Source organism: Homo sapiens, chromosome 14, assembly GCF_000001405.40.
Source record: "Homo sapiens chromosome 14, GRCh38.p14 Primary Assembly".
Taxonomy (NCBI): Eukaryota; Metazoa; Chordata; class Mammalia; order Primates; family Hominidae; genus Homo; species Homo sapiens.
This window is the reverse complement of record NC_000014.9, coordinates 24,888,789-24,905,947: the sequence shown is the minus strand read 5'-3', so window position 1 is coordinate 24,905,947 and position 17,159 is coordinate 24,888,789. Positions and strand designations below refer to the sequence as shown.

The following is a 17,159-nucleotide window of genomic DNA, read 5'->3' as shown; positions in this document are numbered from 1 at the left end:
TTATTACAATGGATAAGATGATTTCTGTGGCCCACAATTTATCTCCCATTATATCTTGACACCATATTCTGTAAAAGATGTGCATGCAGGTGCACAGGTGTGGAAGGGAAAAGTTCTGTGAGCTTCAACTACAAGTACATCCTATCTTGGTCTTACATTGTGTATCCCTGGAAGGTTTTGTTTAGGTAGGAACTGACACATAAAATGTCTTATGTATTCATTTGTTGAAGTAAATGAAAGACAGCATTTTAGAAATGAAGGTGAGTCCAGCTTAGAGAGGATTGTACAATATGCAGAACTGGATCGAGACAACTAACCTCATGGTCCTCTTCCTCCTTTGGCAGTTTTTGCTACATAGGTCACAGAGCCACAGATTGCATGTTATTTTTAGGTCTGAATAGCAGGCTTCCTATAGATTCCCAAGGTTTTCTTTGTTAGACAGGCAGGAATAGGAGAGCAAAGGACCAGAATCTGAGGGTGAAGAGTGCGCAGAAAGACCCAAATTCAACAAACATTTTAAACATCTGCTGCATTCCAGGCACTTTGCAACAACTTTCTCATGTTCCTCCTAAATAACAATATAACACTCCTGTAAGTAGGTATTACAAGCCTATTTTACTGATGAGCAAACTGAAGTTTTGATGATGTACACAACCTGACCTGAGGGTATCTTGTGTAAAGGCCATCCTGAGATTTGAACTGAAGTCTCTTAACATTTAAGACATGATAGGGACTTTGGAATAAACAGCCCAAAAGCATGGATAAGTCTGAATGAATCCTATTTGAGATGGTTCTATCCTGTCCCTCTTCTGGTCTCCAGTGAAAAACTTATACAAACCATGGAAGATTCAAATAAAACAGAATTTTCTATTTGGAAAGGATACCTATATATATGAGAAACTTAGATACAAAGAGATTAAATTATTTACCCAAGGCCACATTGTCACTAGTAGCAAACCCAAGTCCTGAACTCTCATCCTGGGGTCTTTCAACATCCTTTCTAATAACCAATATTTGAATGAGATGGTAATTTTCTAATCAAATCTAATTTTCTCTAATCAAATAGAACTGCTTTGAATGCTGTATTCATCTGCTACGGCTGCCATATCCAGAATACCACAGATTGGATGGCTTAAACAACAGAAATTTTTCTTCCAGTTCTGGAGGCTGGAAGTCCAAGGTCAGGGTGCTGGTGGGGATGATTTCTAGAGGACTTTCTTCCTGGCTTGTAGACTGCTGCCTTTGTGCTGTGTCCTCACATGCCCTTTCCTCTGTGGTCATGCACTCCTGGTATCTTTCCCTCCTCTTACAAGGATATCATTCCTATTGGATTAGGACCCCATCCTTATGGACCTCAATTAATATTACCTTTTTAAAGGCCCTATCTCCAAATGCGGTCACATTGGATGCTAAAGCTTCAAAGGCTGAATTTTTGGGGGGACACACTTTAGTCCAGAACAGATATATAATAGGTATTAGGTTGGCGCAAAAGTAATTGCGGGTTCGCCATTAAAAGTAATATTCTACAAAAAAATAATTTCCTAGAACTATACCCGTTACTTTTAATGGCAGAACCCAGAGTTACTTTTGCACCAACCTAATATATTAGAACATTGGTTCCCTGTCAACGTAGATGGGGTAATTGACTTAACCGCGTAGATATGAAGTTGTGGCTGGATGTATTCACCTATATTATTCACATAAAATCTGTAAAATGACTTTGGGACTGTGCTTGAATTGGAGATGTGGGATTCGGGGAAGATAACTTTACTTCAGTTTCTTACTTGTTTTGGTTCTCATATGAGCGAGTGACAAGGCCACTCACAAGAGCGATGTTCCTGATGCCAAACCTCTGACATCTTTGCCTATACCCTGAAGCCAGCCCTTGAGTTGTGTGACTGAATGTCATCATTCTTGCTCCAAAGGGACTATACCAAAACCTGTCCAGGTTTGGTCAGCCAAACTCTTAAAATGTAGCAAAGAAAATGAAGATTTGGTCAGGATGGGAAGGAGGAGCAGAATCAGAAAGATAAAACTAGTGTATACACGTAGATGCCCTTTCACAAGAACGCTCACTTAATCCCAGCAAATATTCTGTGATGTAAGTAATATCCCTATTTTTATAGATGAGAAAATTGAAACTCAGTACTGTTATGTAATTTGTACAGGTTTTTAACTGGAGTGAATGGTGAAGTTTTGCTTTAAACTGGGTTTTTAAGTTCATATTCTTTTTTATCCATCTGTGTTAGATCCCTAAGTTATAAATAACAAAATATAGCATTATTTTGTAGATTATTTTTTGACAATGGCAAAATGTCACTTGGATATTCTGGCTGTCTCTATGTGAACTGTTAGGCATTTTAAAATGTGGAGTTTCAGTTATGTACCAGTTGTGACTCATCCCACAAATATTTATTAAGAACTTTGTTTAAGGGACTGTTAGGCAGTACTAAAAAAATCAAGATGAACACTGTTCTTAAGTGGCTTACACTATAGAAGAGAGAAAATATAAAGTTAAATACATGTAATGTAAAGCAGTAAGTGACAAGGGCCATCAGAGAGACAATGACCAAGTACTTGGGCAGTTAAAGAAGAGAAGGCTTTTAGACAGGAGCTCAAACACCTAACCATGCCTGTGTGATCTTGATTCTCAGAGTACATCATCCAGCATATGCTCACCACTGTCTCAATGAAACAAACAAACAAACAAACAAAACAGAGAATAATCAAATCAAAAGCAAACACCAAAAATGCGAGCTCTAACAAATCCAGAAATTTCACTGCAAAGCCTCAAGCACATGTGATAATTCAGAGGAATTCAATAAAGAAATCTTGGTTAGTAAAAGATTTTTTAATCCTCTGCTAAATGATCACAAGTTGCTTGTTGTGAGCTACTTCTCTGTGTGATTAGTACTTGTCTTTCATAGATCCACCAGTCTTCAAATGAAGTGTGAAATCTTATTCAAAGATAAATATATTGCAAAATATTTTAAATAACTCATTATAGTCCTTGGTAAAATTCTATGGATCACCTGTTGTATATAGAGATTTAACCCAAGGCCTGCCACTACTCTGGTATTTATACAAAGAGCCATTGGAATGACCTATGAACAGAAAAGTTTTAAATGAAGCAGTATCCCTAGAAACTCTGCTATACCCATCTCATCAACCCCCTTCACTTTAGGAGATATTATGGGGTTTTATTTCTGATTAACTTTCTTACATTTTTCTGTTCTGTTAGGAAATAGGCCTAATTGACTACAACCAAGGCTGCTACAAAACTAATGGAAAGAAAGAGACAAATAGTTTACGTAACTCAGTACATCATCAAGCTCTAATATGTTAGTGAATGTTTGATAATCAGTCATCAGCTGTCTGTCTGTAGAGTTGTGATGTTACCCAAAAGGTGATGAGGTGGTCCTCATTCTTAGGTTACTTAACGAAGCATCTATGGTAGGCAAAATAATAAGTCTCAAGTCTCAAATATAGCCTTACTAGGGATTACTGCTTTCAACATATGACTTGGAGAGCGAGGTGGGGGACAAATATTCAGTCCATAGCAACCATATACACTCTATATCCAGCTTTTTCTTTTGCTGTATCTTATCATTCCATGTCTATGGCAAATATTACTACAGCATTTTAATTTAGTTCAGGCATGGAGTTCTAACATAAATATACCCACAACTAGTCCCCAATCACTGGATATTTAAATCTGTTTTTCTAATTTTTGCCTGGAAGAGACCATTTTATGATGACTATTCTTGTAGCTAAATCATTGCACTCATCCTTTCATTAGCAAAAAGTAGGTATTTCTTAAATTTCTTACATTTCTTAAAATTTTTTAATTGTCTTTCAGATATACAGATATCAAATTAATGGAAAATATTTATTGTAATAAGAAAAGTAAATGCTTTTGATTCGTTCATTTCATTGAGGCATGATGTACATGCAGTAAAATGCACACATCTTAAGGGTACAGCTTGATATTTTACATATGCGAACACCTATTTGAACACCATCCAGATCAAAACACAGAACATTTCCATCATCCCAGGAACCTCTTTTATTCCCCTTTCCAGTCAGTAGCCCCTATCATCAGAAATAAACATTATTCTGATTCTTATCACCATAGTTATGCCTGTTCTTGAAGTTCAAATAGGTGGAATCACAGAGTGTATATTAACTCTTTTAGGTTTTGATTTCTTTCATTCAGTACGTTTTTGAGACTCATCCATATTGTTTCATGTGTTAGTATAGCTTCTTTTTAATTGCTGACAGTATTCTGTTGTATGGGTATGTCATAATTTATCCTCTTGTTGATGTACATTTGGGTTGTTTCCAGTTTTGGGTTATTATGAATAAAGTTGTTTTGTACATTCTAGTATTATTCTTTGTGAACATATGTGCTCATTTCTCCCAGGTACACAGATCAGAGTAGAATTGCTGCATTATGGGAACGTTATGCCTAATTTTTTCAGAAACTGCCAACAGTTTTCCCAGTGGTTGTAATATTTTACACTGTGCTTGAAATGTGTAAGTGTTAGGGTTGCTCCAAATCCTAGCTTTCACTTAATATAGCCAGTCTTTTTTTGGGGGGGAGCCATGCTAGTGGGTATGTTGTAGAAATCCACTCATTTATTTTTTTTCAATCTCAAAAAACAGTGTTTGTCTAAAATGATCGTAAATCACTAGATTTGAGGACATTTCAATTTTATAGAATGAAAGAAAATGTTAATAATATAACTTCTACTAGTCCTGCCTTTTAGTAGGTAAAAAAGCCAAAAACAGAGAAAAAAAAAATCCTGTCTATACGGTTCAAATAAAAGTTATTTTTCCTCCTTTTATTTTAAATGAGACTAGAAATTCCCTTCTCCATTTGAGGTTTGGCTTTTTAATATGAGATTCTTGCTTTAAGTTGTAAATTTCATGACTTAGTCTGTCCAGCGGTAACAGTTTGTGCTGCTACAAGCAGAATTGCTCCTCCTTCCAATTATGCATACATCCCAGTTTTTACTGTCTTCATCTCTGCTTTAGACTTTGTTGGTTATCATTTATTTCTGATGTTTAGTCACAACTGGGCCACTGGGAGTCCTGGTTCCTTTAGAAAAGACAGACACTGTATTTGCCTTATAGGACAGGCTGATGCTTCTGTCCTGGATGGGGAGGGCATTTATTTCCATGATTTTAATGGCAACATCCTGTCATTTTCACAGTCTGATATGGACCTCATTTCCTTCTTTTTTGATCCCATGAGATGGGTCCAGAAACCTCTAAGTAGCACACTGAAAAACTGGGCATGACTAAGCCACAGTAGCTCGGGGGAATAATTTTGTAGAACTTTCTCTTGTCATTTAGCCCAGTTATTTGGTGTAGAGCTTTCCCAACATTTCTCTCCCAACAGAGATCTGACTCCCTTAATCTATATCAGATGTGATGAGGAAGCCTGGAGTTTATTTTGGACTTCGTGATAGATTAGAAAATAAGCATACGCAGAGCTTCTTTCTTGCTGTTGGCAAGTGGTTTTATTTTGTTTTGACTCTTATACTGCTTTCCTGTAGTTCAGAGAGTTCTGTTGGAGTCCGATGTTTTACAAAGCCTGGGATAGTGCCACACCCAGTAGGTGCTTTGATGAGGACATTTCCCTGATGATGTTTCCCCACCTGGGTTGAAACGTGGTTCTGATAGAACTGAGAGGAAAGAGCTTACATCTGCTAGCCCTAGGATTTCAGGGATGTAAGTGCTCTCTGTAGACCACAGAAATATGCCTTTCTCTTAGTATAGGTTCTAAGAAAATGAAAAAAGAAAAATCTAATATTAGGAACAAAATTAAGCAGATAAACTAAGATTGTTTGCAATCATTTTAATCTTTCTTAGTGTTTGTAAATTACAACCTGTTAAGGCATATCGCTTTGTTCACCTATTAGATAATTTGCTGTGTGGTGTTTAGCAAGTTGCATAACTTCTCTGTATTTCTCTTTATGGGAGTTGGTACTAATGATATCCAAGGACCTTCTCACTTCAGAGGTCAGTAAGATACTGCATGGCATAGTGTCTAAGAGCACCATTCAAGAGCTGAACAGCCAGGGTTCAAATTCTTACCAAACATATGATATCTGAGTAAGTTACTCTTTTTTTTTTTTTTTGCTTTTTTTTTTTTTTTTTTTGAAATGTAGTCTCGCTCTGTTTTACAGGCTAGAGTGCGGTGGCACGATCTCGGCTCACTGCAACCTCTGCCTCCCAGGTTCAAGCAATTCTCCTGCCTCAGCCCCCTGAGTAGCTGGGATTAGAGGCATGTGCCACCACACCCAGCTAATTTTTGTATTTTTAGTAGAGATGGGGTTTCGTCATGTTGGCCAGGCTGGTCTTGAACTCCTGACCTCAGGTGATCCACCCACCTCAGCCTCCCAAAGTGCTGGGATTACAGGCATGAGCCACCACACCCGGCCATAAGTTACTCACTTTCTTGGTGCCCTATGTAAAATGGTGATTATGGTAGTGGCCACCTCACAAGATTCTAATTGTTACTTGGTGAAGGAAAAAAGCACTCCTAATTTCTCCTGGCATGGAATAATTTCTCTGAAAAGTTTGTTAACATGTCTCTGTAATGTCTGTGGTAATTTGAATTTTCTTATTTCCTAGGAACTATATTCCAAACATTCTTACTGGAATAAAGGGGAAGACAAGTTACTATTGACTTTTTGTCTAATATAGTGCTTTAATTTTATTGAAATTAATTTAGAAATCAAATTTATGTACGGTTGTGGTGTTATTATATATATTGGTTTCGTCCACCATTCCTAGCTCATAATGCCTAAAATACTTGAAATCTTCAAAGTGCTGTCTATTGTGTGTTTTTTCATCTGATAGGTTCAGAGTCACTGGAAAGACCAAGGCAGCATTAGAGGGTTGGGAGTTTTATCCCCACCCCCAACCTCTGGGGAACGGAGAAGGGCTGAAGGCCAAGCTGATCAGCAATGGCCAGTGGTATAATCAATCATGCCTATGTAATGATGCCTCTGAGTATAGAAATTCTTCCTTCTATAGAGGTTTGGTAAGAGTCAATTTTGTTTTCTTCTGGTTTTTCTAGGAGTCTGCATATGCATATACACATACTTGTGTATAATTTAATGCCTTTATATAAACATAAATGCCTTTAAAGAAAAAAGAATGCTTTTGGTATTCTCTTTATTTTCCTTCATATGAGTGGCTGACAGCACTCAAACCTAAATCCCTTGCCATTTCTTTTTTTGTTTTGTTTTGTTTTTTTTGAGATGGAGTATCCCTCTATTGCCCAGTCTGGAGTGCAGTGGTGCAATCTCGGCTCACTGCAACCTCTGCTTCCTGGATTCAAGCGATTCTCCTGCCTCAGCCTCTCGAGTAGCTGGGACTATAGGCGCATGCCACCACGCCCAGCTAGTTTTTGTATTTTTAGTAGAGATGGGGTTCCACCATATTGGCCAGGCTGGTCTCGAACTCCTGACCTCGTGATCCACCCGCCTTGGCCTCCCAAAGTGCTGGGATTACAGGCATGACCCGCCGCACCCAGCCATCCCTTCCCGTTTCAATACTCTGTTAAAAAAGCATGTGGTTCAGTGAGGTTCAGTAAGGTTCAGTAATATTATTACCCAGTGGTGAGATTATGAGAATCACAGTTGAAGAATATTTATTAAATGCTTCCTGTATGTGTCAATTTCTAGTCATAATGGACACCTTGTCCTGTAAGACCTTGTACTCAGAATGCAAACCTGGGATGCTCGGTCAGTGTTAGTTGTGAAAGCTTCCGAGCTGAGGTCTCTAGCAAAGAACATTTTTCCTCTACCCTCAGTTTCCTCATCTGTGGTCTGAACAAGTTGAACTAAATGATTTCTAAGGAGCTCAGCAGCTCTGATTGCTAAACCTCGTGTACAGAAACACATGCATACACAGATGGCTATGCAAAGATGAAACAACCATTGTCTACATGACTTCACCACTGATTTTCCAATCAGTAGCATTATACCCTTTGTTTATTTACACTCAGGGGACCAGGAGGCAACAACTGATAATAATTAAGAATTATTATAAGAGCCAAGCCACTTAGTCTGTAGGCATCTTCCCTTGGCCAAACCACCACAGCAATTAAGTGGTCATAGAAAATAGAACAGAAGGAGCCATGGTACTGATTACCCACACTTATATGTCACCTCTTAAAAGACTCCCTTGGACTTTTAAAACATCAAGAGCCTACTAAACCTCTCCTGTTGTTTGTGAAGATCCATAATCCCTCATCGAAACTTTAATCCCAGGTGTACTGTGGAATTCAAAATTTTTTCTGAGTTCAGAAATTTTGTATAGTACTTGAACTAAATTTTATGTAACATCTCCAGGTGGGGTTCAATGCAGCACCCCTACTCAAACACATTAATATTTTTCACAAGTTGGATAGATAATGACTGTAAGTAACCTGACTTCATTTCATGATAGATTTTGCCAACAAAGGAGATGTATAAAAAAAACTTTTTCTTTTTTTTTTTTTCCTTTTTTTTTTTTTTTTTTGAGACAGAGTCTCGCTCTGTCGCCCAGGCTGGAGTGCAGTGGCGCGATCTTGGCTCACTGCAAACTCCCCCTCCCGGGTTCATGCCATTCTCCTGCCTCAGCCTCCCGAGTAGCTGGGACTAAAGGCGCCCACCACCACGCCTGGCTAATTTTATGTATTTTTAGTAGAGACAGGGTTTCACCGTGTTAGCCAGGATGGTCTCAATCTCCTGACCTCGTGATCTGCCTGCCTCAGCCTCCCAAAGTGCTGGGATTACAGGCATGAGCCACCGCACCCAGCCTAAAAAAATCTTTTGGTTTCCATCACTTTTTGGATTTTGGAAATCCAAAATTTCTAAAATGTGGGCCTAAGATCTGATATTACTTTTCTGCAGAAACCTCCCAGTGATTTAGTGCAAAGAGACACTAGCAGAACCCAACTGGTGTGTAAGGCCTTTAGTCTTATGTCTCACCCAGTGGTACAGCCTTCCTCTCTCTACCTGAAATAGTAACCCCCTCCCCAAATGCCCATTCACTTGGGCCCCACTAACACTTACCAGCTCAGACATACCCCAGACATGCTTACTCCGGATGCTTTTGTTCATCTGGTTTCCTCTACCTATGACAACTCTTGTGTTCCTTTTCTCCTCATTCCTAGCCCAGCTTTTTTTCTGCTGTTAATCCTAACCACCTTCCAAGTTCCCAGTCTGAGAGGTTCTCCTAGATCTACCAGTTTGGAATGACTTTATCTCCTTTGTTCTGCCTCTGTACTCCATATCTTTATTATGGTACCTATCAGAGACTGCCAGATATTTTAGAAAGCTTGTATGTGTGTATCCTCTAGTAAATTATGAGCCCTTAAAGTAAGTGGTTCTCAAATCTTAATATGCATGCAATGCTGCTTGTTATAATGCAGATTCCTGGGTTCCTCTCTCTTTCTCAAGAGACTCATTTTCAGTAGGTTTGAGTGGGACCCAGGTAACTGCATATTAGCAAATCTCTGATTGTTTAAACCCTCCTTGAATAGGAGGAAGCTGACAGCGGGTTCTGTTCTTGAAATAAGGAGCTACACCCCAGGACTCCAGAATCAGAGCCTAAAATTGAATTGTGGCATATATATATATGTTTCTTAGTAGAGCAAAACTTGAGTCTGTCATGTCATTAGTAATATCATTGTGGGAAAGAGCCACAGCCAGTGCAAAAATGGCTAAGTGCCAACAGGCTGGCAGGTGAACACACATCCTGGGACCACACTAGATCGTGGACTTTTGAAAGCCGAAGAATTCATCTGGAAGGCTGAAGAAATCATCCTCTTTCTAGGACATTCATGTCAGAAATGCTGCTGCCTATGCTGTATTTAGGTTTCTGAGCTTGGAGAGATCCTTCTTGTAGCCCGTACTCCAGCCCCTCCAAAGACACCCCACACTCTTCTTTTTGGTGTCTAATAATGATTTTGACAAACACAATAATTAATGTAACTACTGTTCAGTGAGTTCTGTGTGCTGGTACTGTGTTAATCACTTTACATAAACTATCTCGTTTACTCCTCAAGACAACCCAAAGAGGAAGTATAATTTTTGCCTGTTACTGGTGAGGACCTCATGCTCAGAGAGGTTAGGCAGCGTGTTCGTGATAACACAACTAATGAAGGAAGGGAGGGATGTCAGCCCAGGTGAGCTGCCTGCAGAGCCTATGCTCTGATATTGCTCCAGCTACCACTTTTAACATTTAGTGTTCTGACTTACTATTATAATGGAAGCCCTACCCTATCTTCTGCGTATTTGAGAGGATTTGTTTTTTTATTCATATCTTCGAATGTCTGTGAATGACTCTGACCTCAATCCTGTATGTGTCTGGACCTCTACTAGAAAGCATTTGGCATATGGGTAGCTTACCCAACACAAGGATACACCACCAGGAGTGGCTGAGTGCTACGGGAGCTCTTAACAGAAGAGAAAGTTATTGCGACTCCTCCTAACCGCCTTCCTTTCACTGGACATGAATGCCAGTAAACCTAGTCCTGTTGTTGAAGTCAGAACTGAAGAATGGGCCCTCTAGATAGAATGTAAGCACATTGCATTTAAATCTCTTTTCCTTAATGGTACAATTAGGCAGGGATAAACAGTGTTAACATGTTGGAATTCCTCGTGGTTTTTATTTCCTGGCTACAGTCAATCAAATGGTCATTTCACAATGAAAAAAATCTGGACACTTTTGTGTTCTGTGCCTTGCTCCTTTGCTGCTGATATTGGAAAATACCACTATTTTGGCCAACTATAAATTAGACTGATTTCTGTGAGAAAAACAGTTCTTGGGAACATTTAGTAGCTTAACACGTGGACCATGGTTAGTGTTTGAGATAAAAATAGAGATATTGACTTGGGCTTATTCGCTTAGAAAAAAATCTCATTTTAGAGGTTAGTACTAACACACGAGAAAGAAAAATAGCCAGACAAGCTCAAGGCAAATATCATAAAACCAGTGGGATATGATATGGAAGGAGCTAGAGAAATTTTCCTGAGCATTAAAAAAAAAAAAAGAGAGAGAGAAATAAGGAGAAGAGTTAGAATGGAAAACTTTTAAAATAAAGATTCAGGGAAGTTGTGCAATTGGGAAGCCACGGTCTCCATGAGCCTTTCGTCTGCTAGCTACCACTTTGTACACAATGCAAGAGTTCCTTAGGCTGGTAGAGAGGGGTATTCTGTCCCTGCCCCATTGTCTATAGAGAAAAGTTAATGCAGATGTGAGCAGAGTTGTGAGATGTGGTAAGTACCCCATAAAGCAAACACATGTGAGCAAAGCAAACTCTCAGGTGATAAATATAGCCAAAAGAAAATGCTGTGTTCTATGGATTGGGGGATATGGAATCTGCTTAGGGCTCTTCTCATCAGCATTAAGTTTCCTGTCTGGGGGACACTGACCTTTCCTGGTTCTCCCCCAGTTAACTACACTATCTCTAGTCCACGCTGTCCTGGTTGTCTAGTAAATATTTCCACCTGACCTAAATCCAGGCCAATACAGCACCTCCTGGCATCCCCTTGTATATTCCTACATGGTTTACTACATCACCCTCTAATCACTTTCCCCAACCTAGATATCTTAGCATTAGACTTGGACTTCCAATTCTTTCACCTTTTACATTCAAGAGAGTCCCTAAGTCCTCATCATTTTACACTGGTTTATTTCAGACCTACGTCTTCTCTCTTATGAGACCCTGAGATACTTTCCAAATTGGTCTTTGTCTTTTTGTCCATTTCCATTCAGGCAATCCTCAACTCTGCAAAAACTTTTTTATTTCTAAAATGCAAGCTGAATTTTAATAGTCTTGCCTAATTTTCTAAAACCATGTTCAAATTCCCTAACATGACTTAATCTGTTTCCATTCTACTTTTACCATAGAACCTGTATAACACATGTTTTTTTCTTTTCCCTGATTTGATGCTATAACCCTATTTCTATGATCCTTGGTCCTGATTTTTATTCTTATTTATATTTAATTATCATTTTGTGTTATATGGTCTTTTTATAAAATGCCACTAACCCAAAAGAGGAATGACTAGACTGAAGTTCAGACTTAGAATTATTTTACTGTAAAGCTAGCTGTTCCTTAAAGGCATTGATATTTGTGATCTTACAGTTACTAAGGAAGTCTGTTTTCTAATTTGGGAATTTCTGGAAAATGTTAATGGGAGGTACATATATTTTATTGCCATTTGAAGACAACAAAATGAAGTAACTGACCATTGAGTATCCCTGTAGCCCTAATTTTTATTTGTTAGGCATTTGTGTTAGGGATTATTCACAAAACTTTAGTCATAATTGGAAGTCACAGGTCCCACATTAGTACCCCATATTTTGCACAGATGGAGGCTTTTTTGTTTTTATATATATTGCCTGTTACCTAACACTCTTAAGTGCTTGGGAATTTCCCAACTGAGCAAGACAGCACTGCTTGGCGAATAAGAACACAGACCCTGAAGCCAGATAGCCAAAGCTCTGATCTCTGTTCTGCAACTTAGCTGTGTGGTCTAGAGCAAATTCCTTAATTTTTGTGTACCTTGGTTTCTCCATGTGTAAAATGGATTTAAGTGGTAAGTTCTTTAGGTTTGTGGCCAAGATTAAATAAGTTAATATATGCAGAATACTTTGAATAGGTCCTGGCACATGATAAGCACTCACATCCCAAGTGTTAGCTATTGTTGTTTTTGTCATTAGAGCTGTATTGTTCATACGAAAGGCTAGTTTCTCTGTAAATATTACTATCATTAGATCAAAATCAATAATTTTTAGACAGTCACTATCTCTGGGCATTTGAGTCTCTGGGATCTACTACCACAGCTCACCTAGAAAACAGTGGTCAGGTTGTGTGCACCATACCTGCAGGAGAGACAGCCCAAGCCCCTCTGCAGCCTGGCTGTTGAGAGTGCCATTCCTGGGCTCTCCTGCTGAATGTCTCTTGGCAGAGCACTTCAAAGCAGCGGAATGTGGAAAATGAGGCTCATTCTGCTCCCTCTTCAGGGCTGTGGGAGTTCTAGTTACAGTAATTGATAGTTGAGAACGTGCAAGGTCCACTCGGCTCTCTCCCATTTCTGCCCAAGCCCCTGCTCCTGCTTGATAACATCTTAGTAATGTGCCTCATATTTGATGTTCTCCCACATGGCCCATTGCAGCTCTCATGGTCTGCAGGCCAGATGGAGCCAGTGTGGGAACAGCATGGCCCGGAGGATTGCAACTCAGTGCTGTCAATGGGATGCCAGAGCACAAGGACCAGAGTTCAGAAACCTGCTCTGGCAGTCTGCTCCGAATGCTCATGGAAGACAACATGGAGAGGGGGCGGGGGGTCCCTGCCCTCTGCATGACTTTTCTGGGAAGAAAAAGACTCAAACCAAGGGGTGTGGTTGGCCCAGAATCAGAATTGCTTTCTAAGGATGCAACTCCATGATTTCTTCCTCCTCAGAATTATTTCCCCCCTTGAAGAATATAGAAACATCTGGCTCATTTACCAAGTCCTCTGGCAACCTCTGAAATTTCTAAAGCAGAATAGCTCGCTAGATACATCAATTTAAAAAATTCTAAAAATAAATACTTCCACCTAAAATCAGAATTTGCACCTAGAATATTTTTCTTTCTCTCCCCTTTCTTCTACCCTCTTTTCCCCCCACTTTCCTCCTTGTTTTCCTTCCACTTTTTTTCTCTCTACTGACCTCTTTCCTTTTTAAAAAAAAAAAATAATGTATACATTACCTTTGTATTGACTGTCTGCATTGCATAAGATGCTCTGAATACATGGGGGAGCAAGACAGACACTACCCCATAGAACCTAATGTGTACATGTGTTGGGGGTAATCTAATAATTTCAAACATATATAGTTATATACTGAGATACTTACCAGGAAAGAAAAGTACTAAGAGCCAGGAACATTTATAAAGGGAACCTGATCTGGTCCAGTTGTAGGAAGGCTTTCCAGGGTATGTGGCTCTTGAGCTTTCCTCTGAAAGATTAATGGGGGTTAACAAAAAGTGAAAGAGCAGGAAAGTCATTCCAGGAAGAGGAAATGTTCTGCACCAGGATAATCAGATGGAAGAAGCCTTACATGTTCAAGACATTAGAAGAAGTTTTATTATAGAAATGTCAGAAGAGAAGGAACACAGTATTCCATTAGAGTTATCTTTTAGTTTGGTGTGGGAGATTTTATGTATGTATTGAACAAATCAAAGCTTTACCTAAATAGTTTTTCTAGATAAACTTTTCTAAGATATAAAGGAAATATGGGTACCCTCAAGGCTAATATTAGTGGGGTAAAATGAATATTGGTTTTCCTCTATTTAGTGAAATGAGATAGATTATAGTATTCATAAGGAATTCTAAGTAAATTTCTTTAGAGAGGGTCGGGCAGGTCTCCTGACAGTTTTCTTTCTTTACAGGATGGGGAACAGGGAATGAATTAATGGTGAGGTTTTAGTGTGAAATGAAATTGTGGTATTTACTAATGTCTTAATAATATTTTCTTAGTCTTTTGACATTCAGGCTAACCATATACAGGATATGAACTGAGTATTCAAGGCATAGGTAACCCCTATTTATCCTTCAGAGGGAGCAGCACTGTGGAGAGATGGACTCAAGCCCCCAATATACTGCCCTATTCTTTATTTAAATAGGCACTTTTTGTCTAAAAAGGAAACGTTCATAAGTCTGTTAGGAGGACTCCACGGTTTGTGGAAGCAGTTTCTTCTCCTAATTTGTTTTCAGGCCTTGTTTGCATCCGTAATTAACATACTGTCCAAAGTTATCTGTGCACAGAAGACATTACGAGCCCTTCCTTAGGAAACTCCTGGAGAACAAGGACATAACTGAGCAAGAGGAAGACAGATACAAGAAGAAGGGATTCAACACAGGAAAAAAGTAAAGACAAGTTTCAGGATAAAGGTCAAAATAGAGCCCAGATGGCAGCAGTGCACTGGCACAAACAACTTGCCTGTTGAAAATGTAATTCTACCCTGATACTTGATTGTTAGCTTGGCTGGGTATAGAATTCTAAGTTGAAATAAGTGTACCAAATTAAATAAAGGATAGAGCAATCAGCTGGGAGTTTGTGCCTATCTCTCTATAGCACTGCTCCCTCTGAAGAATAAATAGGGGCTAACTCTGCCTTGAATTTCCTGTTTAATACTGTTTCAATTTATTTCAAAGGAATACATTTTTTGAAGATGTTGTGGCTTTGTATTCTAGATTCCAGTATCCTCTAGAAGTCCAAAAGGACGCTAATTTCCTTATCTTTTCTATAGGACATTTTTCCCTTCCTCTCTGAAAGCTTGTAAGATCTTCTTTTAATCCCTAGTATTCAGCAATTTCACAGTAATATATCTAGGAGTGGTTTCTTTTCATCTATTGTACTAGTAGTTAGTGGGTCCCTTCAGTGTTGGAATTAATTTTTTTTTAGTTTTCTTGAATTAATTTCATGCATGATCCTCCTCCACCTGACCCTCGTGTTTTCTATGTGCATCTTTTTGTTGTTGTTGTTCGGTACTTTGTTATTCAGATGTTGAGGATCTTGTGATGAATATTGTGAATTATCCCACATCCATGCCAACCTCCTTCCAGTTTACCTTTGTGTACTGCAGGGGCTAGAAGGATAGACACTGTTTCTAAGATCTTTTGCAGTTAGTGTTCTGAATGTGATTTAGATTTGACTTTACTTCTTTCTGTTCTGTTGGCAGGTATGGCCATGGAAGCTTTTTACTCTGGGACAGCATTAGCAGGCATCCCAGTGTTTGGGCACTAGCTCTGTGAGGTCAAGAAGCAGACTGCTTGTCATCCATTTTGCTTGTATGGATTGTGGCAGGCACAGCCTGGCTTTGCAGTCCATAGCAATACCTATGACTCCCTGATCCTGGCAGTAATAACATGCTTCTGGAATTAGTGGCTCTAGTGGCAGTTTGCCACTTCAGGAGGCAGTCTCTGGATGTTAGAAGAGGTGAAGCTCCCTTTGTGGCTTAGTTCTCTGGTACAGTTGGGGAGTTGTACTGAAAGCTCAACTTCAAGTGTGCTTCTTTAGCTGTCTTAGAGATTATGTTATTTAATGTATGGTAAGAAATAATTTCTGCTAAAACTAAATAACATGAATTATTTTCTCTGCAAAGGATCCTGATTAGTATGACTCTCCTGGATTGATTCTTCTAATTTCTTTTTACTTTTTTCCCGTCTTCCAACCCTATTTTTGGGAGGAGATTTTCTTAACTTTAGTTTCTAACTTTACAATTGAGTAATTGAGCTTTACAAATTCATACACACACATACATATAATATGTAAGTACACTTTTTTCTTTTCTGGGTATTCTTTTTTTTTCTTTTTTTATTTTATTATTATTATACTTTAAGTTTAGGGTACATGTGCACAATGTGCAGGTTTGTTACATATGTATACATGTGCCATGTTGGTGTGCTGCACCCATTAACTCGTCATTTAGCATTAGGTATATCTCCTAATGCTATCCCTCCCCCCTCCCCCCACCCCACAACAGTCCCCAGAGTGTGATGTTCTTTTCTGGGTATTCTTATAGCATCCTGTTCTAGTTTTATGAATAGACCATCTTCTGTTATTTTCCTGATAGTCGTTGTTATTGTTGTTGTTGTTTTTAAGTTTTCTTCCCCCTGCCTAGTCCCTGTATATTCCTGGTTGCTTTTGACGGTCTGTTTAGGACTCTAACTTTCATGCTAGAGACTTGGCTCAGTGATTCTTGGTGGTTGGCTCATATTTAAGAAGAGGACCTTAAAAGTCAATTAGAAACCCTGAGCATGTCATTGGGTGTTGTTACCTGGGACTTCATGATAAGGTGGCCTGGCTGTGCTGTTTAATGGGGAAGCCCCTGATGTCACCATCTTCATGATTTTTTTCTTGTCTAGGTGAGATTCCCCAGGGAAGGGTTTTCTAATCTGCCTGTAAAAAGTATGGTCTGGCTGCCAGGGTCCTGGGAGCTAAGTACAAAAAGAGGAAAAGGGGCAGGGTACTCTAAACAAGTATGCAAATGTTCTCTTTGAAGAAAACAACAACGGTAATTATTTTTAATACATTGCCACTACCCTAAACTGTGTCTGGTACATAGAGGGTTAGAAAAGTCAGGAACCTACCCATAAAAGCAGA

General features: G+C 39.1%; 1 protein-coding gene across 28 annotated transcripts in view; it reads left to right on the top strand.

The window, feature by feature from the left end:
• STXBP6 (syntaxin binding protein 6) overlaps positions 1-17,159 on the top strand; it is a 240,694-nt gene that overhangs the window by 144,200 nt on the left and 79,335 nt on the right. The window lies entirely within an intron of this gene.